At 40.6% G+C, this 25,158-nt stretch overlaps 1 long non-coding RNA gene across 1 annotated transcript in view, besides 1 other annotated feature; it reads right to left on the bottom strand.

The window, feature by feature from the left end:
- Nucleotides 1-25,158, bottom strand: part of CFAP20DC-DT (CFAP20DC divergent transcript) — a 724,471-nt gene that overhangs the window by 186,295 nt on the left and 513,018 nt on the right. The gene's annotated exons all lie outside the window — the stretch shown is intronic.
- Nucleotides 10,974-11,145: a silencer, noted in NCBI's record as "fragment chr3:59599597-59599768 (GRCh37/hg19 assembly coordinates)". NCBI's record gives its function as "represses an EF-1alpha promoter that drives an FKBP-Casp9 reporter gene in an ReSE screen in K562 erythroleukemia cells {active_cell/tissue: K562}" and the evidence as "EXISTENCE:reporter gene assay evidence [ECO:0000049][PMID:32094911]".

Here is a 25,158-nt window from a genome sequence, read left to right as displayed (position 1 = left end):
GGTGTCTGTGGGGGTCCTGGAACCAATCCCCAGCAGATAATAAGGGACAACTGTTATACCTCATTGACCCTGCATTTGGACAACTCTGTCTCATTTACCTCATCATGATGCAGCCCTGGTTCCTATAAAATCTTATTTACCCAAGCAGGTGACAGTCCATGGCTCACAGTTTGCCAATTTGATTTTTTAAAATATTGTTTTATTAATTTTAAATTTATTTTTATTAATACTATTTAACTGACAAATCATAATTGTATTACATTTATAAAGCACAATGTGATGTTTTGATATATTCATACATTATGGAATGATTGAATCAAGTGAATTAACATATTTTTAATATTAATTTAAAATACTATAATAATTACTAAGTTTCCTAGACTTGCTTTGCATTTCCTGCCCAGGGCAAGGATCTCATTTGCTTTACCCTAGTCCTGGCCGTACTGTACTATGAGCTAGACAAAAGACCTAAACACATCTTTCTTTCTCTACCTGCCTCACTCCCTCCCACACCATCTCTCAGGTTCTAACTCTTGACCTTCATGCTAGTTCCACCATAGGGAAATGTGACTATTTCAGGTCATGGGGAATTTTTATTAAGAGAGGGAAAAAGTTTGGATTATTTCATTTTTGTTACAACAGAACACTTCTAGAGCCCAAATTATATTTCTATAGTTTAAGGACAATAAAAATGCCTGGATATCACCTCATCAATAAGAAAGGGGTTAAGCCCTTCTAGTCAAAGTTTTCATAACAATTTCATAATTTATGCATCACCTAGGATACTCTCTGAAAACATTAGGCCAGTAGTGAGATGATCTATTTATTGCTGAAAACACCATCACTGGCTTGTAATGCTGATTAAATTAGGGGGAAAACAACTTTTTAAATTTCTTTAGATGCTGAGATCATCTGGAGCTGGTTTGCAGAAAGAAATGCCTCCCAGTTTATCCTTCAGGTAAAAAGGCATCCTTGTGAGAAATTGTTTTTTGTATTTTTAAATGATCAAACATCTAGGGTTTTTCAACAAAATAAACCTAGAATTCAAGACAACTCATTAAATAAAATGGGAAGCATTGCTTCACCAAAAGGTCCAGAGTTGTAATCAAGGCATTAAATTGGTTCTGGTCTCAGTGCTTTGAGTGGGCAATTTTGCTGAGTTATAGGCAGGCAGACCTAAGTGATATACAGTAGTGAGAAGTGCTCTCTAAGAAAAGATGCTTAGGTCAACTCAGTGCACTGAACCGATCCTCCTGTTGCACGAGGAATAGAAGGGTGAAACGTAAAAACAACAAAACAAGTATATACATAGTAGAGCTTGCAAGGGATCCCCAGATGTCTAGAAACAAAGAGGGCCACAAAATCTAAATAGACATGATGCCATGGTGACCTTTTGGATAATGAGAGGCTGGAGGTTAGAAGTAAGCCCAAAACAAAAATACTGGAGCCTTCAAATATTCTTCTTTCTATGAGTAAAAGACTAGAAAAATTACCCTGTTGGCCTAATATTGCACCATATAAAACTATAAGGGAGTTATAGGTGGAGAAATAGTTACACATAGAAAGAGTAAAACCCACAGACTAAATCACATGATCAGATGTAGGGTCCAAATTAACCTATGAAATGAGAATCTCAAGCTGAGAAATGAACATAAACATAAATATAGAAAAGTGCAGGAGAATCAAGTGTTTAACTGGTCCACAGGAATATTTTTATAATCCAGGACATAAAGAACTTGCAAAGAAGTTCCCACCCCCCATCTCCAATGATAAGCCTAATTTTTAAAAAATAAGATGATCTGCCCAGGAAAACACAGAACCATGAGGGAGAACCAGCTGTATAACAGGAAATTAGTACCTCAAGAACTAGAGGTAATAGTTTAATTGAAAGTATAAAATCAATGTGTTCAAAAGCATCAAAGATAAAGACGTCATAGAAACCCTAGTGAAAGAACAAGACATTATTTTTTAAAGATCATAAAAATTTAAAAGAGAACCAAATAATTGGGAATACGTTATATACAGTTGACCCTTGAACAACATGAGTTTGAACTGCATAGTTCCAGTTATAGGCAGATTTTTTGCAACCCAATGCAGATAGAAAATGCAGTGTTGGTGAGATGAGAAACCCACTTATATGGCAGGCTGACTTTTTGTGTATGCAGCTTCCAAAGGGCCAACGTGCAAACTTCGTATGCACGAAATTTGGTATACAAGAGAGTCCTGGAACCAATCCCTGGGTATACTAAGAGATGACTGCAATCATTAAATTTACGACCTCAATCAGCATGTTGAACAACATATCAGATACACCTAAAAAAAATTGGCTAACTGAATTTGAGGAAAACATTCAGAATGCAATACAGATGAAGACCAACTGGGACAGATGGAAAAGTCCAGATCTATATTTCACAGAAGCTCCAAAAAAGAATGTAGGGGAAAGCAATTTTCAAAAAGATAAGGCTTATACTTTTCTGGAATTGAAGAAATACTAGCACTCAACTTGAAAACGTACTTTAAGTTAATCCAAGCTAAATAAATAAAAAATTTGCTTAGCAGATTTTTTTTGTTTTAATTACTAGAAGAAAATGTTTTTTTTTTTTTTTTTTTTTTTTTACAGTGGCTTGAGTTCCTAAGACTCAACCCAAAGTTAGTGTCTTAGTTTTCTGCTGCTATAGCACAGTACCACAGATTGGGTAATTTATAAGACAAGACATTGATTTCTCACAGTTTTGGAAGCTGTGGAGTCCAACAGCATGGCGTGAGCATCTAGTGGGGCCTTTCTTACTGTATCAAAACACAGTAGAAGGGCAAGCAAGCACAGGAGGCAGAGAAAGGAAATTGGGCTGAACTCATCCTTTTTATCAGAAACCCACTCCGTGCCAACAGCATTAATCCATTAATGAAAGCAGAGCCCTCATGGCCTAATCACCTCTTAAATACTGTTACATTGGCAATTAAATTTCAACATGAGTTTTACAGGGTCATTCAAACCATAGCACTTAATATTTATAGCAGTGGCCATCTTTCTTTAGAACATCACGACCGCCCAGTAGGTCGGGACCCTGGAGGAAATAGGATTGGTTACAGTCTATCTATTTTGGAATAGGCTAAGACATCTAGCCCAGGTAATTGATCTGTAGTATTAAAATGACATTTAAAGAAAAACAATATTAATGTGGACACCAATTGCTTTTCACATGCTGTTCAGGATAGCAGCTTTGTAAAATGTGAAGTTATTTATAAATGTCAATAATGTTATCTAATCACTGGTTTAGCAAATAATAATTATTAGCAAGTCCAGCCCTGTGCTAAGCACTCTACAAGCATTTTCTCATGAATCCCTACAAATAACTTTTTAATGTAGGTGTGTGTATACATATAAATTTCAGTATAAATTTTAAATATGGATGAGTAAGCTAAGACTCAGAAAAGTTTCTTGCCCGGGATTTCAGAGAATAATGGAATAGGGACTCATCTCAGATCTGCCTGATGATTTTAACTATTCTTTAATGTGCAGAACGTAGAGAAGGCAGATTAACACTATCGAAAAAGTAAACACTACTGTTCATTGGAAATATGCAAGCTTCAAGAATTTTCTTGGGTTAACTTTGAAATATTGCTGTTCTGAATCCAACAGGTCACCAGGAGAAGGTCACCTACCTGATGGCCAGTGACTCCTGATCCTGGGAAGTCAGGGTGGGACTCTGGGAGCCAGGGACACAGTTCTTTCAAAAGAACAAAGGAGTCACATGGCAAGGACTAGTGTGCTGGCGGTGTTAAATGCATTAGCAATCTCCTGGAGGTTCATAAATATTGTGTGGGGAAAGGGAAAAACAGCTTGTTTATTTTGAGCGTGGAGGGCGTTACATTCATTTTTTAAAATGTCAGGCATATGCATGTAAGATGTGCCTGTTTTCCAGCAATATGCTTTTTCCATAGAATGCAGAATTAAAAATAAATTGCTAATGGAGGCACAAATAAATGACTGAGAAACAGAGGTATTTTCAAAGGAAAATACCAACACCGTCTCTAGCTTAGCATATCGCCAAGGTTTTTTTGTTTGTTTGTTTGTTTTTTCCAGAAGATGCTGGCAGCTTAATGTAAGCCAAAGCGGGCTTCTCGGTAAAGGCGGCATGAGCACTGTTTTTCAATATGCTTTCTCTAAATGTGCAATAAGCACTATTTTGAAGTCAGTGCTTTTAGCAAGCCTTCTATTTTTCACTGCAAAGAAACTCAATTTATTCTTTGTTCAAAGAAAAAGTGGAATCACAGCCATCTCTGAGGGAACTGATGAAAACATTGGCAAAACTTTCAGATAAAAGAGATCGAATTGTTTATGAAGAAAAAAATATTTAAATATATATTCCATTTTATTTTCTTTCACAGTCATTTGGAAAGAAGGGAGCAGAGGTTGAGTCAGGGGGAAGGCTCTGACATTCTTTCTTTCAGTGGAAAAACCTTTTAAAAAAGCAATTCAGCATTTTAATCATTACACCAGGTCATCGGAAAAAAGTACTTAACTTTCGCCTTGATTTTCATTTCTTTCACGGTTCCAAGATGGTAGTTCCTGTGCTGACAGAAACAGATTTTAGCCCTCCCCAAAACCAGCTGCTGGCTTTCTCTTTTTGGGGGGTAACACAATCAATTTTTTTATAAGTTCTTTCTCTTATTCTGAGGTGCCTATATGCTTGGGTGAAGATTATAGGTTAAACTCTACTGAAAGTAATGGAATTTACTTTGCCCTTATATTTCTGGTCAATACCCCGTCTGTGGGTAGACTCAGGCTTTCTACTGGAAATTCTATTTTCCTAATGCTACTTCAAGACCCAGCTGTGTATTCAGATGTAAGGGCAATCAATTGCCAGTTTGGAGGTAAATGGGAGCAGAGAAACATTGAAAAGTTATATTTTTAGTTTTTCAACTTAAATTTTTGAAAAAATGTCAAGGGGTACTCCCAATTATCACGATCAAAATTTTTCACAATTCAGCATAACCTCTGTTTCTTTGTCAAGGAAGGTTTTTGTATAGTGCTCAGAATTTTTATATATATATATATATAATTATACTTTAAGTTCTAGGGTACATGTGCACAATATGCAGGTTTGTTACACATGTGTATGTGTGCCATGTTGGTGTGCTGTACCCATTAACTCGTCATTTACATTTGGTGTATCTCCTAATGCTATCCCTCCCCCTCCCCCTCCCGCCACCCTACAACAGGCCCCAGTGTGTGATGTTCCCCTTCCTGTGACCAAGTTTTCTCATTGTTCATTTCCCACCTATGAGTGAGAACATGCAGTGTTTGGTTTTTTGTCCTTGCGATAGTTTGCTGAGAATGATACTTTCCAGCTTCATCCATGTCCCTACAAAGGACATGAACTCATCATTTTTTATGGCTGCATAGTATTCCATGGTGTATATGTGCCACACTTTCTTAATCCAGTCTATCATTGTTGGACATTCGGCTTGGTTCCAAGTCTTTGCTATTGTGAGTAGTGCCACAATAAACATACATGTTCATGTGTCTTTATAGTAGCATGATTTCTAATCCTTTGGGTATATACCCAGTAATGGGATGGCTGGGTCAAATGGTATTTCTAGTTCTAGATCCCTGAGGAATCGCCACACTGACTTCCACAATGGTTCAACTAGTTTACAGTCCCACCAACACTGTAAAAGTGTTCCTATTTCTCCACATCCTCTCCAGCACCTGTTGTTTCCTGACTTTTTAATGATTGCCATTCTAACTGGTGTGAGATGGTATCTCATTGTGGTTTTGATTTGCATTTCTCTGATGGCCAGTGATGATGAGCATTTTTTCATGTGTCTGTTGGCTGCATAAATGTCTTCTTTCGAGAACTGTCTGTTCATATCCTTCGCCCACTTGTTGATGGGGTTGTTTTTTTCTTGTAAATTTGTTTGAGTTCTTTGTACATTCTGGATATTAGCCCTTTGTCAGATGAGTAGATTGCAAAAATTTTCTCCCATTCTGTAGGTTGCCTGTTCACTCTGATGGTAGTTTCTTTTGCTGTGTAGAAGCTCTTTAGTTTCATTAGATCCCATTTGTCAATTTTGGCTTTTGTTGCCATTGCTTTTGGTGTTTTAGACATGAGGTCCTTGCCCATGCCTAGGTCCTGAATGGTATTCCCTAGGTTTTCTTCTAGGGTTTTTATGGTTTCAGGTCTCACATTTAAGTCTTTACTCCATCTTGAATTAATTTTTGTATAAGGTGTAAGGAAAGGATCCAGTTTCAGCTTTCTACATATGGCTAGCCAGTTATCCCAGCACCATTTGTTAAATAGGGAATCCTTTCCCCATTGCTTGTTTTTGTCAGGTTTGTCAAAGATCAGATAGTTGTAGATGTGTGGTATTATTTCTGAGGACTCTGTTCTGTTCCATTGGTCTGTATCTCTGTTTTGATACCAGTACCATGCTGTTTTGGTTACTGCAGCCTTGTAGCACAGTTTGAAGTCAGGTAGCATGATGCCTCCAGCTTTGTTCTTTTGGCTCAGGATTGCAATGCGGGCTCTTTTATGGTTCCATATGAACTTTAAAGTAGATTTTTCCATTTCTGTGAGGGAAGTCATTGGTAGCTTGATGGGGATGGCATTGAATCTATAAATTACTTTGGGCAGTATGGCCATTTTCACGATATTGATTCTTCCTATCCATGAGAATGGAATGTTCTTCCATTTGTTTGTGTCCTCTTTTATTTCGTTGAGCAGTGGTTTGTAGTTCTCCTTGAAGAGGTCCTTCACATCCCTTGTAAGTTGGATTCCTAGGTATTTTATTCTCTTTGAAGCAATTGTGAATGGGAGTTCACTCATGATTTGGCTCTCTGTTTGTCTGTTATTGGTGTATAAGAATGATTGTGATTTTTGCACATTGATTTTGTATCCTGAGACTTTGCTGAAGTTGCTTATCAGCTTAAGGAGATTTTGGGCTGAGACAATGGGGTTTTCTAGATATACAATCATGTCATCTGCAAACAGGGACAATTTGACTTCCTCTTTTCCTAATTAAATACCCTTTCTTTCTTTCTTCTGCCTGATTGCCCCGGCCAGAACTTCCAACACTATGTTGAATAGGAGTGGTGAGAGAGGGCATCCCTGTCTTGTGACAGTTTTCAAAGGGAATGCTTCCAGTTTTTGCCCATTCAGTATGATATCGGCTGTGGGTTGGTCATAGATAGCTCTTATTATTTTGAGATATGTTCCATCAATACCTAATTTATTGAGAGTTTTTAGCATGAAGGGCTGTTGAATTTTGTCAAAGGCCTTTTCTGCACCTATTGAGATAATCATGTGGTTTTTGTCATTGGTTCTGTTTATATGCTGGATTACGTTTATTGATTTGTGTATGTTGAACCAGCCTTGCATCCCAGGGATGAAGCCCACTTGATCATGGTGGATAAGCTTTTTGATGTGTTGCTGGATTCGGTTTGCCAGTATTTTATTGAGGATTTTTGCATCAATGTTCATCAGGGATATTGGTCTAAAATTCTCTTTTTTTGTTGTGTCTCTGCCAGGCTTTGGTATCAGGATGATGTTGGCCTCATAAAATGAGTTAGGGAAGATTCCCTCTTTTTCTATTGATTGGAATAGTTTCAGAAGGAATGGTACCAGCTCCTCCTTGTAACTCTGGTAGAATTCGGCTGTGAATCTGTCTGGTCCTGGACTTTTTTTGGTTGGTTAGCTATTAATTATTGCCTCAATTTCAGAGCCTGTTATTGGTCTATTCAGAGATTCAACTTCTTCCTGGTTTAGTCTTGGGAGGGTGTATGTGCCCAGGAATTTATCCATTTCTTCTAGATTTTCTAGTTTATTTGCATTGAGGTGTTTATAGTATTCTCTGATGGTAGTTTGTATTTCTGTGGGATCGGTGGTGACATCCCCTTTATCATTTTTTATTGCATCTATTTGATTCTTCTCTCTTTTCTTCTTTATTAGTCTTGCTAGAGGTCTATCAAATTGTTGATCTTTTCAAAAAACCAGCTCCTGGATTCATTGATTTTTTGAAGGTTTTTTTGTTTCTCTATCTCCTTCAGTTCTGCTCTGATCTTAGTTATCTCTTGCCTTCTGCTAGCTTTTGAATGTGTTTGCTCTTGCATCTCTAGTTCTTCTCATTGCGATGTTAGGGTGTCAATTTTAGATCTTTTCTGCTTGCTCTTGTGGGCATTTAGTGCTATAAATTTCCCTCTACACACTGCTTTAAATGTGTCCCAGAGATTCTGGTATGTTGTGTCTTTGTTCTTGTTGGTTTCAAAGAACACCTTTATTTCTGCCTTCATTTCATTATGTACCCAGTAGTCATTCAGGAGCAGGTTGTTCAGTTTCCATGTAGTTGAGCGGTTTTGAGTGAGTTTCTTAACCCTGAGTTCTAGTTTGATTGCACTGTGTTCTGAGAGACAGTCTGTTATAATTTCTATTCTTTTACATTTGCTGAGGAGTGCTTTCATTCCAACTATGTGGTCAATTTTGGAATAGGTGTGGTGTGATGCTGAGAAGAATGTATATTCTGTTGATTTGGGGTGGAGAATTCTGTAGATGTCTATTAGGTCCAATTGGTGCAGAGCTGAGTTCAATTCCTGGATATCCTTGTTAACTTTCTGTCTTGTTGATCTGTCTAATGTTGACAGTGGGGTGTTAAAGTCTCCCATTATTATTATTGTGTGGGAGTCTTAGTCTCTTTGTAGGTCTCTAAGGACTTGCTTTATGAATCTGCATGCTCCTGTATTGGGTGCATATATATTTAGGATAGTTAGCTCTTCTTGTTGAATTGATCCCTTTACCATTATGTAATGGCCTTCTTTGTCTCTTTTGATCTTTGTTGGTTTAAAGTCTGTTTCATCAGGGACTAGGATTGCAACCCCTGCCTTTTTTTGTTTTCCATTTGCTTGGTAGATCTTCCTCCATCCCTTTATTTTGAGCCTATATATGTCTCTGCACATGAGATGGGTCTTGACTCTTTATCCAATTTGCCAGTCTGTGTCTTTTAATTGGAACATTTAGCCTGTTTACAATTAAGGTTAATATTGTTATGTGTGAAAATTTGATCCTGTCATTATGATGTTAGCTGGTTATTTTGTTCGTTAGTTGATGCAGTTTCTTCCTAGCATCAATGGTCTTTAAAATTTGGCATGTTTTTGCAGTGGCTGGTACTGGTTGTTCCTTTCCATGTTTAGTGCTTCCTTCAGGAGCTCTTGTTGGGTAGGCCTGGTGGTGACAAAATCTCTCAGCATTTGCTTGTCTGTAAAGGATTTTATTTCTCCTTCACTTATGAAGCTTAGTTTGCCTGGATATGAAATTCTGGGTTGAAAATTCTTTTCTTTAAGAATGTTGAATATTGGCCCCCACTCTCTTCTGGCTTGTAGAGTTTCTGCTGAGAGATCAGCTGTTATTCTGATGGGCTTCCCTTTGTGGGTAACCCGGCCTTTCTCTCTGGCTGCCCTTAACATTTTTTCCTTCATTTCAACTTTGGTGAATCTGACAATTATGTGTCTTGGAGTTGCTCTTCTTGAGGAATACCATTGTGGCATTCTCTGTATTTCCTGAATTTTAATGTTGGCCTGCCTTGCTCGATTGGGGAAGTTCTCCTGGATAATATCCTGCAGAGTGTTTTCCAACTTGGTTCCATTCTCCCCGTCACTTTCAGGTACACCAATCAGACGTAGATTTGGTCTTTTCACATAGTCCCATATTTCTTGGAGGCTTTGTTTGTTTCTTTTTATTCTTTTTACTCTAAACTTCTCTTCTTGCTTCATTTCATTCATTTTATCTTCAATCACTGATACCCTTTCTTCCAGTTGATCGAATTGGCTACTGAAGCTTGTGCTTTCATCACGTAGTTCTCGTGCCATGGTTTTCAGCTCCATCAGGTCCTTTAAGGACTTCTCTGCATTGGTTATTCCAGTTAGCCATTCTTCTAATCTTTTTTTAAGGTTTTTAACTTCTTTGCCATGGGTTCGAACTTCCTCCTTTAGCTCGGAGAAGGTTGATGGTCTGAAGCCTTCTTCTCTCAACTTGTCAAAGTCATTCTGCATCCAGCTTTGTTCTGTTGCTGGTGAGGAGCTGCGTTCTTTAGGAGGAGGAGAGGTTCTCTGATTTTTAGAATTTTCAGTATTTCTGTTCTGTTTTTTCCCCATCTTTGTGGTTGTATCTACCTTTGGTCTTTGATGATGGTGACCTACAGATGGGGTTTGGTGTGGATGTCCTTTCTGTTTGTTAGTTTCCCTTCTAACAGTCTGGATCCTCAGCTGCAGGTCTGTTGGAGTTTGCTGGAGGGCCACTCCAGACCCTGTTTGCCTGGGTATCAGCAGCAGAGACTGCAGAACAATGAATATTGCTGAACAGCAAATGTTGCTGCCTGATCGTTCCTCTGGAGGTTTCGTCTCAGAGGGGTACCCTGCCATGTGAGGTGTCAGTCTGCCCCTACTGGAGGGTGCCTCCCAGTTAGGCTACTCGGGGGTCAGGGACCCACTTGAGGAGGCAGTCTGTCCGTTCTCAGATCTCAGACTCCATGCTAGGAGTACCACTACTCTTTTCAAAGCTGTCAGAGAGGGACATTTAAGTCTGCAGAGGTTTCTGCTGCCTTCTGTTCAGCTATGCCCTGCAGAGGTGGAGTCTACAGAGGCAGGCAGGCCCATTTGAGCTGTGGTGGGCTCCACCCAGTTCAAGCTTCCTGGCTGCTTTGTTTACCTACTGAAGCCTCAGCAATGGGGGGCGCCCCTCCCCCCACCTCGCTGCTGCCTTGCAGTTTGATCTCAGACTGCTATGCTAGCAATGAGCAAGGCTCCATGGGTGTGGGACCCTCTGAGCCAGGCACAGGATATAATCTCCTGGCGTGCCGTTTGCTAAGACCATTGGAAAAGCACAGTATTAGGTTGGGAGTGACCCGATTTTCTGGGTGCCATCTGTCACAGCTTTGCTTGGCTAGGAAAGGGAATTCCCTGACCCCTTGCACTTCCCAGGTAAGGCGATGCTTCGCCCTGCTTCGGCTCATGCTCAGTGCACTGCACCCACTCTCCTGCCCCCACTGTCCAACAAGCCCCAGTGAGATGAACCCGGTACCTCAGTTGGAAATGCAGAAATCACCCATCTTCTGCGTCACTCATGCTGGGAGCTATAGACTGGAGCTGTTCCTATTCAGCCATCTAGGAACTGCAACAGTGCTCAATTTTTAACTGCGTAGAATTTTTTTACTAGTATCTGATTGTAGCAAAATAACATAGGCTGGTGAGTAAGATGGAAAGGAGATGGAAATTTTCCTTCAGTGCCCAGAGCTAGTGGAATTCTGTTGGTCTTTTCTAAAGACTTTTTAAAAGTCCAATTTAAAAAAATTATATTTTTCTAAAGACAAGGTCTTGCTATGTTGCCCAGGCTGGAGAGCAGTGGCTATTCACAGGTGCCATCATAGCACACTACAGCCTGGAACTCCTGCCCTCAAGCCATCCTCTTGCCTCGGCTTCCCAAATAGCTGGGACTACAGCTGTATGCCACTACGCCAGACTTCTTAAGGCTTTTATGGCCAGGACCACCATGAAGAAAATGGAGCACAGCTCCATGCCATGAGGATAACCAGCCTAAAGCCACCTAAAAGCCACAAAGACTTGACCCAGTCACATTCAAATACATAGCACATGTGACTTAACTCCCAAACATGAACTCATGGTAGACATTATTAATCAATCACTGCACTGTTTTCCAGTAAGTACAGATTGGGCCTCACGATCCTTCTCTGCAGAAATCTCTAGGCAACTCCTCTTCATAGCATTTACAACTCTCCCACCAGTCCTGATGTAATCACCTTTTTTTCTAGTATCTTCACCTTATAAGGGCAGAAGCTATAGTGGCAAAGATTGTGAATGGAAAGATGGAAGGACCAGGTGCATGCCTCCACTCTGTTATCAACAAGTTCTGTGCCCTTGGCCCAGTCACTTGTCCTCTTTAAAGTCCAATTTTCTAATCTAGAACAAGTAGTTTTGGTTTGATCAGAATATGTCAATCATGACCCAAGGACCCCTGGTGGGGGGGGCCATAATAATTAATTGCAAGAAGCCTCAAACCCATAACATTCTACATACTGTTTAAATATTAAATGAATGACATGGTAACTAATTTCCCAAGCAGATAGAGATTGTTGGAATGAATGAAATACAAATTCATCTACAATCACTAAAATTTATAGCACTTTTGTCACCACGTAGTTCTTGATCAATAAATATGTACCAAAAATAAAATGCTTATTCTTTAAAACTTAAAGTATCATATCCTCATTTATTAATAACATAAAAAAAGAAAGCTTATCTCATGAAATTTTTGTGAAGATTAAATGAAATAATGCATGAAGGGTCTTGGTACAGTCCCTGCCGGACCCATGGTAAGTGTTCTATCAGGCACAGAAAAAGGAGATGGGCTGCGCAGGATTCAGGATGAGAAAAATATTACTCAACCTGGCTGCAGACTCTCCCTTCACCCTTGCATAGTGAGGCTAAGTGGGAGTCAAGAAGTAGGAGGGTGTGGTTTCTTTAAGTAGTCCCTTAAATTTAAGTAAGTACTTAATCTTTCTGGGACATAGTTCGAAAGCTGGTGATATAAAGCCTGGGGCAATGATTTTGCAAAAATCCCACTGTTTTTGTAACTCTTAATGGGATGGTAATTGCTGCAACTCCCTCAGCCCTGTGGGTCAGACTGTTTTCATAATCTCAGCAGGTTAAATGGAAAATTTAATCTAATTCCACAGAGGCTATGTGTTTAGCATCTTTCTTTCAGCCCATATCTCATTTAAATGAAGCAGATAGACAGTTTTATTACCATGATACGGAGAGGCGGACTTCACTGTTACAGAGGGGTCCCACATTTCTGAAAAATTGGGAACCAATGAAGCAAACCCTCTAGAAGTTTCTAGTTCTATAACACGATGGATTTTAGAGTTAAATGAAGCCATTATGTAACAGGCATTTTATTTTTATTTTTTTAATATAAAATGTTTTTCAAGCTCATTCTTGCTTCAGGGGTAAAAGATGCTTTAAAGTGATAGGTCTGGAAACAGAAATGCCTCGGTGCTAAATGGGATGGTCGTGTTCAGTCCCTGTTATCACCAGCCTTCCATGATCAGGAAAAAAACTGTGGGCGTGCAGAGTCAACAAAGAATTAGTGTGGGAAGAGAGATCTGCATTCCATTCCCAATAGTGCCAATGAGGCCAAAGTCTACCAGTTTCTCAGCCTGGAAACCTGAGAAGTATTTCTGAGTTCTCCATCTTCTTGCTCTAATGTCCAATCAATCATTCAGTTCTATTACTCCTCCTGAATCATTTCTCAAATCCACTCCACTTCCATCATCTTCATGGCTCAGCTCATGTCTTAGATTATAGCATCGCCAGCTGCCTTTCACTTTTTGACCATAGCAGCCTCCTAACTGGTGTCCCTACTCTCTCTCGCCCCTCTCCAAGTACTCTCTATTTTGCAGTCAGAGTAAACTTTCACATTATATCTGATTGATGTCATTCTTCTTGAAATCCTCCCAAGACCTTCTGATATACTGGAAATAGAGTCAGTACAAGTGACTCCTGCCCAACCTATCAACATGATCTTGTTCCTTTCTCCTTTCACCCACTGTGTTCCAGCCACACTGGCCTTAATTTAGTTCCTCAAACACATTAAGCTCTTTCCCACCTGGGGTTTCTTGCTATGATGTTCCCTCTGCCTAAAACAATCCTTCTCACCCATTTCTCCAACTGAAGCCTCCATCCCACCTCCTTGGGTAGACATTCCCTGACTTCTGCCTTGAAAGAAGCTCAATCTCCCTCTCAACACTCCCTGTGCTTCCTTGAAAACACTGATTATTATTTATAACCATGCCTTTATTTGCTTCATATTTCTTGTTTATTTCTGCACATTAGATTATAAACTTCTTGAAATCAAGGGCCTTGCCAGTTTTTTTTTTATTTGTATTTTTTTTTTTACAGAGATAGCTCCATAGTTTAGAGCAGGACCTGGCGCTTAGAAAGTCCACAGTAAATACTTGTTGAATTGACAGATCAACATGATATTATTATTATTATTATTTGAGATGGAGTCTCGCTCTGTCGTCCAGGTTGGAGTGCAGTGGCACAATCTCAGCTCACTGCAAGCTCCGCCTCCTGGTTCACGCCATTCTGCTGCCTCAGCCTCCCGAGTAGCTGGGACTACAGGTGCCCGCCACCTAATGTCAATTTGTCACTGTTATATAAGAATAAACTTCAGTGCACGTTGTCAAAAAGCTGCGGAATCTTCTGTACTAAAAAGCCTATAGTGCTGTGTTGTCCAGTATGGCAGCCACTAGCTACATATGTCTTCTATGTCATAGGGCCTGTCCACATCGCAGAAAGTTCTATTGGACAGCACCTCTCTAGGTGTTGGGTTGAGTTGGGCCAGCCCTTTCTAGAGGAAGTGATGTGAGGCAGTGACTCCTCAGTTGCTTCTTAGTTTTAACAAGAACTACTTCCCATCTGAGGCTTTACATGGTTATACTCCAACATGAAACTATTTCATTTATAATCCTCAGTCAGCTTAGTTTACTACAAATGAAAAATGTGATTGACAAGAGTGAGCCTCTTACTAAGAAATAAGTAAACAATGAGGAACTTCTGCAACTCCACTCAAAGGGCTTCTTTTCACGTCAGCTACAAAGGCCCTGTAGAAAATGCTAGTCTTTTCTTCCAAGACTACTGTTTGCTATTTATCCAGCACCAAAAACTATGCTGAGAGCACAAGCTGGAGCTCAACTTGGTCTCTGCCTTTTGGGACTTACCATTTAATTAGACAGATGGGGAAAAATACCCAAGTGTGTTTCCCAATCCTATTTATGAATAATCAGCTGGATTGCAGCTTCTGGCAGGATGTCACACTGACAGGAGGATGCAGCGCGCGGCACGTCTTACTGTGCTGTGCAGTGACCCCTGACACCTCTGCTCTCTGCTGCTACCAGAACTCAAAGCTACTTGTATTACAGCTGTCTCTGGCTTACACTCAATTTGGACTTTTGACTCCTGGTGAGACCCTCTTGCCTTGGGACTGTGCCACCTGTGATCCAGTTTTCTTTCCTTTTGGTGCTATTAATGCTTCCCCTCCCCACCCTGTGAGACTGGTCTGATCTAGTTTTATTTTGCTCACTCTCCCTTTAGCTGGATCATCTGTCTCAGCACATACAAGGACACGTATCCAGATATGAACAGGGCAAACTGGTGGGAACTGTGGTCACATCTTTGTCAGGGGATGAAGGATGCTTCTGTAATCATGAGGAACAGAGTCCACAGTTCAGCCTTCCAGTCCCCATGCCCCCATTTTATTACCTTTCTGGGAGGCTTCAAAACGTATATCCCTACCTTTTTTCCAAAGAGGTCTTCCAGTAGCATCCAGCCAAAGTCACACTCCTTTTTCCACCTTAACAGTTTGAAATATAACTTATATTCCATAAAATTCATCTATTTTAAGTGCACATTTCAGCTTTTGTTATATTTATAGAGTTGTCCAACTATTACCCCAATCTGATTTTAGAACATTTCTATTCTCCCAGAAAGAAACCACAATGCACATTATTAATTATTCCCCTTTTCCACTCTGACATTAGGCAAGGTTGGGATTTTGATTCTTGTTGAGACCCTCTTGCTTTGGGACTGACTTTCTGTCTCTATGGATTTGCCTGTTTTGGACATTCCATATAAATGGAATTATACATGTTCTTATTTTTGGTCTGGCTTCTTCCACTTAGCATGTTTTTGAGGCTCATTCATGTTGGAGCATATATCAGTACTGTGTTTCTTTTTGTCACAAGATACTATTCCATCATATGGATATAGCACATTTTGTGTATTAATTCACTCTCATTTTACACAAAATAGAAATCTTTTCAAGGCTCCCACTCAGAAATGTATTGTCTTTTATTCATTTGAATCAAGCACAGAAAGCTACTTCCTTAATAAGTTTCCTCAAGTTTCTTCATTCTAAAAGTAAACCCTCTCCTTAATATGTGCACATACTTGTGCATCTCTCAGAATCACTTAAAAGCAAACAAACCCATCAGTGTCCAGTGTTTGCCAATGGATGCCCATTATTTCCTCGGGAGAGATGATCATGTCACATGGTAACAGGAATGATCATTGGTCATATAACCAAATAATGTCAACCTCCACAAATACCTCACTGTAGCTGAGGTCAATGGCAAAATTGGCAACAATAAAATATTTAGATTCACAGCGAGGGTATAAAATATGGTACCTTCTCTGTATGCAGCCATATAAAATATTTATGACGATACGGGTTATTTATATTTAATAGCCTGTGTGTTCCCCATGTCTCCTGCTTCCAGCTTGAGCAGATGGAGGCTGCTTGGCTGCCCGCATGAGCTCTTTGTTCTAGTAGCACTAGTGATTCCCACTTCACAGAAGATCACGCTGTGAGGCAGCAGGTGGAGACTGGATGTCTCCAGAGACTCACCTCCACCTTTGTGGTAGCTGTTGACTCTCAGATCTTCTGCCAAGTGGTTTCTATTCTTCTCTTCCCTTCTGATCTATCCCAGTTGTTGGAATCCGTCCTCCTCTCCAATTTGCATTACTCAGAGCTGGAAGTATCGTATCTTTATGGTCTCTCTTGTTCTCATTTATTTTTCCCTATCCACATTCTCAGTTTGGTTGAAAAAAACACCTACCCATACACAGTTCTTTTCGTTGGCCTAGAATCTTTTATTTTCTCTTACCCTTTCATGTAATGGATTAACTTGTAAATATTTAGGAGATAATGATGTTCACTTTTAACATACAACTCTAGAGAATTATCCACCATACATACTTAAATAGTTGCCATGATGTTAGGCACCTTAAAACACAGTCTACAATTGTAGGTTCTTCCTCTGTTTCAGTTCATCAGTAGATTCTGACCTGAAAGATAGCTATTTTGGTTCTAATTCCCTGTTGGTTTTCATTGCAATTAACATGGATTGATAAATGCAGTTAATTGAATGGCAACTCTGCCAGATTCTGTACTAAGTGCTTGACACACATTCTCTCTTAGCCTGACAAAGCTGGCAGTATTTTCTCCACATTATACACATGAAGCCTGAGACTCAGAGGCTAAACGACTCTGCCAAGGTCCCAGAGCTAGTGAATGTGGAGTTGTTGTTTGAGTCCAAGTTCACTCTGATTCCAAAGTCCATGCTCTTCCCATGACTGACCCCTAGCTTTCAGTGACTTGATGTTCAGTTATGTCACTTATTTAGAGTTAGAGGTCCAAAACATTTCACCATCAGCTAAGAGATATGACAGGGTTCAGCCAGATTGGCTGCATGACCTGGACAAATCATTCCACCTCTTGATGGATACCCCACCACCTGAAGATTGGGCACAGAAAGAAGAATCCAAGAAACTCTCAGGGAAAATGCTCCACCATTTTCAGAGGTCAATGTTTGGTTTCTGCAACTCCTCAAAACCCCACCATTAGCTGAGAATACTTTCTGCAACATCTACCAGCAGGGTATTTCTTCCTTTGTGATGTTCTTGAGAAGTCAACTCCCCACTTGCTTCTCCGTTGCCTCCAAGGCTTTAAGTGCCTCCCAGTTAAAGGGCCATATATGATTGTGAACCTTGGTGAGGAAGGTCCCTCATCTCCTTTGCCTCCCCTGGGTACTCTGTGAAACTACTTGCAGTTTTGTGCCTGCTGTAAATCAAAACACCCAGGCAGAGAGCCTGCTGACCAGTGCTTGTGGTCATGAACTCTTTTGTGGGCCTGGGAGGCCTGAGAGATGCAGCTGCTCTTACAGTCTCTGGTATTTGCTGTTTTGCTTCCCATTTTCCCCTTCCACACTAAAAATCCTTGGGGTCAGGCCCTCTGCTGATGGTCACACTGAGCTGGCTCAACCAGACTTACTGAGTCCTAACGACACACTTGATGTGGTATGATGTCATCACTGCTATTTAATATTTATCTAGGGCACTCAGTGTACTTGGTACCACTTAGAAAGGCAATGTCCTCAGCCTCTTTTACCTTCATTGCTGCAAAGAATTTGACCCTGTGGGACTTAACTTGCTCCAAGATCTGTCATTGCTGACTTTCATAACCTTGGAGCTCTGTCCCCTGCAGGTGTCCAGGGACTGTCTGGGTTGTGTCACCTTCTGACACTAACTATCACGATTATGAATGTGACCTTAAGCACAGACCTCCTGATGCCCCAAATTAGCCCAAACAGGCACCAACCAGCTGGCCCTGTGGAAACGTCACTGACTCAGCGTTTCTTTTCCTGCTTCTGCCCTTGGCATTTGCAGTCTGAGCTCAGGAGTCTAGCTTGCTGCCATTTGTGAGAAGTCACATGCCCAGTGCCATCCTTTGTACCCAGGGGCCCTCACACTCCAAGGTCCTCTGAGGCATTATTTCTTTAAAGCTCCAGGCGAGTGTCACTGGGGCTGGCTTTTAAAAGTTTGTTGACCAACTTGCTTGACACTCTGTCGAAGCCGAAGCTGAATCCACCTTTCTACCTCGGACACCTAAGGTGAATCCTGCTCTAATCACCTTCTTGGCTGCTCGGCTGACTCCTACTTTCAGCAGTTTCTTGCTTTCAACAGCTTGTTTAAGGCCCCTCAAATGGGCTGTCAGGCTCCAAAGGAGGGATGGTGCTAGAAACAGTGGAGAGCTAAAAATAAACACCTTCACAGACAGGGACAGACACACTGTGCAAATAGATTACCCGGCTACCCTCCAGACCTGATTGCATTGCAGACCTCATTGCTTCTTATTAGGAGACGGTAAAGTGTTTGCATAGGTAGCTCTGCAATTCACAGGTACTAGAAACCATTTTTAAATTGTCCATCAGCTGGGCAGTGACAGGCAGAAATCTATTGTTTGCAGAATGGGTACAACCTGTCCAAATGGGCTCCCTGCAAGGTAGTCACCACCAAGGACAAAACATCCTATTCTTAAAGTAAGCACTAAAGTTTGACTTAAATAATATATCTTTTGAGGTTTCTAACTTTTATTAAATATAATTAATTATGTAATGTTTGCCTGTGCAAAAGTTCAGAGGCTTGGAAATCAACAAATATATTTGTCTGAGCACACCAATGCAGTTATTCAATCCAGAGGACCATCTTTATTCTGTTTCTAGGACAAAGTTTATCAAATATTTGTTGCAATAATACAAGCAGACACCTGTGAGCACCCTCTGTTGCACGATGCTACTCATTCATGATTTCAGGCACATACCATGTCCTAGGCATCCTATATCTGTTACCTCTGTTTCTTACCTAAGTCCCACAAGGTTATTTTTGTAATAAAGAAAGTAAGATATTTGAGCAGGTAAGTAACTTGTCCCAGCCCAGTAGCAAAATGATGGTGCCTGTAAAAGAGTAACCACTTGGGGACTGTCAATTTTGTGGCAGGTGTTTTGCTATGGGCCCTATGGATGGAATCACAGAGCAGGAAGCAGTTGTAACTCAGGGCTCAGACACCTTGGAATATGGCCAGCTCCTCCTTTCTTCCTGTTGTTCAGTCAGGTGTGCTAGCCAGGGGGAGCGGGGACAGGTGATCCTCAGTGCCTTTGCTGGGAGGATCAGAGGGGATGCATCAGTGTCAGTACTGGGTGACATAAGCCTCATTCCAGATTGACCTGGCCACATGCTAGGCTGTTTTTGTAGACAGGTTGTGGCTTACAGAATTCTGATAGGTGAAATCGTGTTGAGAACCCTGACTCCAGGTAAGACTGATAAATGGATTTTGCTGTAGTCACAAAAAGTTGTTGCACAGCATAGAAAGTTCTGGGTGGTAAAGCTGTAACCAGCTGTAGGAAAGACAGTGACTAGCATGCAACCTGCAAGGAAAATGGGCTAGTTCTCCCGCCTGGGCCTGATTTCATACCTTCACTGCAATTTCCACCATGAAAATGGATTAATTCCAAGGTGCTTTCAGTTCTGATTAAACATTTTCTGTCTGTGGTGGTGTCAGGATTGTAAAACACCTAATACAGCAGTTAATTATAATGCCGTGAACTGCTTTAACCTCTACAATTATCTGGGTTTTTAGAGGCTGACTCCCCTCCCAGCTCTCACTTATGGGTTAGTAATGCTCAGAGCAGGGCAGGGCATGGACCGACCACCAAATAAAAACAGGGAAGATTGAAGAGGTCAGAGACCGGAGTGATTTCTGGAGCACGGGTGAGGCACAGCAGGCAGGACTCTTCTTGTTATAATGACCAAATTTGCAGCCACTAAATGGCTCTCCTAAAGACCACAGAATGTTCCTAGCTTCTTAGAGCCATAGGAGATGTCTCATTGTAGCCTAAAAAGAAAAAAAAGTAGTTGCATTTTCCTCTTTCTCTTCATTGCATTGACCACTTTGTTGGTGGGGGTGAGGGTGGGGAAGGGATTTGGTAGCAGTGACAAGAGCAACTATCAGTTACTGCACTAAAGGATTTACTAGGTGGAAGTTGTCTAACTTAGCCTTCCCACAAGCCTGTGAAGCTGGTAATAGGTTTGATAGAAGAGGAGCTGAGTAACGTAACAGGACACTGCTAGATGACACTCCAGTACTAACATTTTTTTCCAGGGTGGCAGCCTACAGAAGTATTTCTTTCCCCTATATTACTAAAGAGGGAAGCACCCCTTGGCAACTGCATTTTCTACCTTGATCTGTACTTCACCTTCTTGATTTTTTTTTTTTTTTTTTTTGAGATGGAGTCTCACTCTATCGCCCAGGCTGGAGTGCAGTGGTGCAATCTTGGCTCACTGCAACCTCCACCTCCCGGGTTCAAACGATTCTCCTGCCTCAGCTTCCCGAGTAGCTGGGACTACAGGTGCCTGCCACCATGCCCCACTAATTTTTATTTTATTTTATTTTTTTTAGTAGAGACAGGGTTCACCATGTTGGCCAGGCTGGTCTCAAACTCCTGACCTCAAGTGATCCACCTACCTCAGCCTCCTGGTTACTTCACCTTGTAAATTTTTTTTTTTCCTTTGGGACATCTTGACCTGGCCATTTGTAAGAAACAGAAAAACTATATTCACAGAGTGGCTTGTTAGTAGTTGACTCTTTTCTTCAACCTTCTGATGAATACTTGAGCACCTGACCCAAAGCTTGTATCATTTTCTCTGAGTGAAAAGTAAGTTAGTTCATGAATGAACTGCACACTCTGGGTTGCTCCCTTGCCCATCTCTTTTGATCTCCTAGTTTTAGGAAGAATTCAGCTGACAACAACCAACTTGATTAACTGTAGGTCCTGATTAAATAAGAGCATGGGCTGTTAGCCTTCTCATGCTTGAGGACCGCATTTTTTTAAACATTGATTTTGAAAAACAATTCATCAGAAATGCCTTTAAATAACACTTAATCTCTAAAGGCTGCATGGTCTACAGGTGAATTCACAGGTATTGGTGTCAACCTATCCTTAATTTAACATCCATATAAACTTAGACCAGTTCCTTAATCTCTCTGGGTCTCACCTTTTTATCTATAAAATGAGTATAAAAATAATGGCTATGTCAACGGGCTACTGTGAGGATCAGCTGAATGAACCTAGCTTAGAGTTTAATATGATACCTCCTGCTATGCAATACTAATAATTACTATTAAAATACATAGCAAGATATACTTTTTCTACTATTAAGATAATGTTTGGTGAACACCAGGGTTTTCAAACTCCAGCAGTAACTCCAAGATCCCCAGTAATCCATGACTTGGGGATCACCAAGGGAGAGTGGATATCCACTTCAACACCTGTCTCTCAAACACACAAAACCATACGTCTAGATGTCTCTTGGTCAACCAAATAACTTTCATGTTTGAGTTGCAAGTGATATTTGGTTGGCTGAGTTTTTAAAATACATGTGAAAAATGTAAATAGAACCCACTCTTTCCCATGAAAAGAAAATGCATATTCCAAAGGCTTTGTCTGAAATAATAAATCAGAAAATCAAATTTGTTTCTTATTAGGTGTATTTTCAGGTAGGGATTGAAATGAAAATTTGCATTTAAATGGAAAGATTAATGACTAACACACAAAGCCCATATTTCATCACCATTTCCTTAACACAAATAATTTATTTTTTATACAGATCATCCACCTTAAGTCAGCAGTCGAAAATGATAGGTGTAGTATTTTATAAAACAATTATTGTGCCACCAATCATGCATCTCAGTTATAAATACTTCTGAGCTGCTGGTTTCACACTGTTACTTGGGAAAGATCTAAATGTTGGTACAGTAATTTGGGTGTAAATATATATAAGAATGTGTGACTCTCACCTCATGGAAATATCTCAAGCTGAAGAGAAAGAATCGTTTGGAAATTACTTACTGTGCATGGTCTACTCGTTTGCTCTTTCCTCTCAAATCTGGGCTAAGGAGGATTTGCCTCCCATTTCCATTTTAAATAGTTGCTTAAAAAAATAAGAACCATGTCATGTCCTTTTCAGGGACATGGATGCAACTGGAGGCCACTATCCTTAGCAAACTAACAAGGGAACAGAAAACCAAATACCGCATGTTCCCACTTGTAAGTGGGAGTTAAATGGTGAGAACACATGGACATATAGAGGGGTACAAAACACACTGGGGCCTATCGGGGCTGGAGGGTGGGAGGAGGGAGAGGATCAGGAAAAACAACTGATGGGTACCAGGCTTAATACCTGGGTGATGAACTAATCTGTACAACAAACCTGCATGACACAAGTTTACCCATGTAATGAACCTGTGCTTGTCACTTGTACCCCTGAACTTAAAAGTAAAAAAAACAAAATTCTGACTATCCCTCCTCAGGGTAATCTAGTAGTGAAAACACAAAAGGGATGCATTTTCCTCCAAATTAAAATATGAAGGAACGTTCTGAAAATACCAGTGTCCCTCCCACTTGCCCCGGTGGCCCTTCCCTTCATATATTTCCCTATAGGGATAGTGCACTTTGGCCTATGGACTGGAAGACCAGGAATCATCTCGCTTATTCTACACTGTTTTCCTCAGAACCAAACCATCTCCCACACACCCAGCATCATTTATTCCACATACAGGGCACATCATATGAATATAGAGAATGCTCAATGGATCTGGGACCTCTTTCCTAAGGCCTGACCTATACAGCAGCAAAACTGAATGACTTTGTCCTGGGAAAGAAATCTGATTGAGGAGAAATTACCCCAGGCATTAGATGATGTCTTTTCTCTGTCTGTACCTTTGGTTGCAATGTTGAGCAAATGTTGAAATTTTATTTGTATTAGCTGGAGAGTTACAGTGAAATGATAAATTTGCATTAAATAATCTTCCTCACTGGGGACTGGCCAATAACAGAGTCAGCAGTACAGACACTGCCAAAAATTTAAAGTTATTGGTTGGTATTATGTCATCCTCTGGGCCCTGATAATTCATGCAGCTTTTCACACTCTTTCCTTCTCTCCCCCTTCCGTCTCTCCTTTACCCCTCTCCCATCCTTCCCCCATTCTTCTCTGAAAGCAGCCAGAGCAACTTACATTTAGAAAACAAGACAATGATAAAATATGGGAAACTGGAAAGAATAAAGAGTTATTAGACCTGGTTTGTCCATTCTTTGCCCTTAAAGCCTCAATTTAATTCTGGAGTTTGGCAGGCTGTTTAAAAATAACACCTCCTCTACAAATTGGCACCTCTGTTCGCTATTGATCTCTTCCGATTGCTGACCAGCAAAATTAGCACCACATCCTCTGCCATTAAGAGGACAGAGTGAGAGACAGGGAAAAGTATAAGCACTTTACTTGGAAAAGCATGCCAACAGCCAGTCCTACTGGCATAGCGCTTTTTAGCTTCCATGGTCCCTGATTTTTGCCAGTGATGAATATATCACAAAAGGTAGATGGATTTTGTGCGTGGTAGTGATTAGAAGAAAGGAAGATTCCTTCTGGTGGGAATTTGGGCTGGATTCCTGAGAGAAAACGATGCTGGGCTGGGCAAGTCTAGTTCAAAAACTTATTTGCAATACTAACCAGAGCCATGTCATCCCTGAAGAAAAAAAATCTAGCCACATTACATTCGGTAAGTCAAAGCTGACCTATATGAAGAAAGCTGGCACCCAGTTAAGGTTAATTAAAAACGTATATAATGACTCATTTCTGAAAGTCATGACTTTACTTGATTGGGGAGAAAAAAGTCTAAGAATCAGTGTCTAATGGGCCTTCTAGTCTCAGCCAGTGGCTGCATTGACTGCCACTCTAAGTAATGATCCCTGATGTATAATAGAGAAAGATGTGGTCCAGTGGCTAATGAAACCAGATCAGTACAGAGAACACATATACTTTAATTCATGGTCCCTCTGTTGCATTCAGATTTTTATCCAAAAGACCTTCTAATTAGAGTCCTCTCAGGTGGGAATGTGTCCACCTTTTCAATGACACATGGACAGCAGGAAAAAGGCAAACAACCTCGTTGTTTTTCTCCAGCATTCGATCCACTAATCATCTTTCCCAAATTCAGCTCAGGCTTCTGCCCGAGTTCATTTCATCTTCATCAGCATTGCCATTTTCTATCTCATATTTCAAAGAGCAATTGGAAAGCAGATATTTAATCAGAAAAGTTTGGGATTCATTTTTTTGGACACCCAATCTGTCTTTAGAGGCTTTGAGATAGACAAAATTGCTGTTGACTACAAAAACAACTAAAGTCAGTGTCCTTGAGAAATGCTAAAGTCCAGTGAAAACTGTATGGGTTTTAGAGGTGGTCAGATCTGGCTCAAATCCCAGCTCCACCATTTATTATATGTTTGACCTTGGATAACTTGCCTAGCCCCCAGAGCCTCAGTTTTCTCATCTGCAAAATGGAGATAACTCTCTAAAATGTCTGTTTGTTAAGGCTGCAATAGGCATTGGTCCTCATGCAAGACAGAAAACCTAACTTGAGATAACTTAGGCTAAAGAGAGTTTCTCTTACATGACTAAAATTGAAGTCCCATAGAAATAGGGTGTCTGTGGACTTTAAATTGGTGAAAGGGGGAGCACCATTATCATTAAACTGGACAAACCAGTTCATGCTGTCATTCCACATGGAAACGAAGACCAAGAATGCAGCCAGGCCTCAGGAAAGGTTGCAACTGGGCACTGGATGTTGCCAAGAACTCAGCACTCTCTCCCTCTCCCTTGTCTCTCTTTCTTTATGAATCCACATCATTTTCTGCTCT

The sequence above is a fragment of the Homo sapiens genome, chromosome 3 (assembly GCF_000001405.40).
Source record: "Homo sapiens chromosome 3, GRCh38.p14 Primary Assembly".
Taxonomy (NCBI): Eukaryota; Metazoa; Chordata; class Mammalia; order Primates; family Hominidae; genus Homo; species Homo sapiens.
The sequence above is the reverse complement of the archived record's forward strand: the minus strand, read 5'-3'. Positions and strand labels throughout refer to the sequence as shown.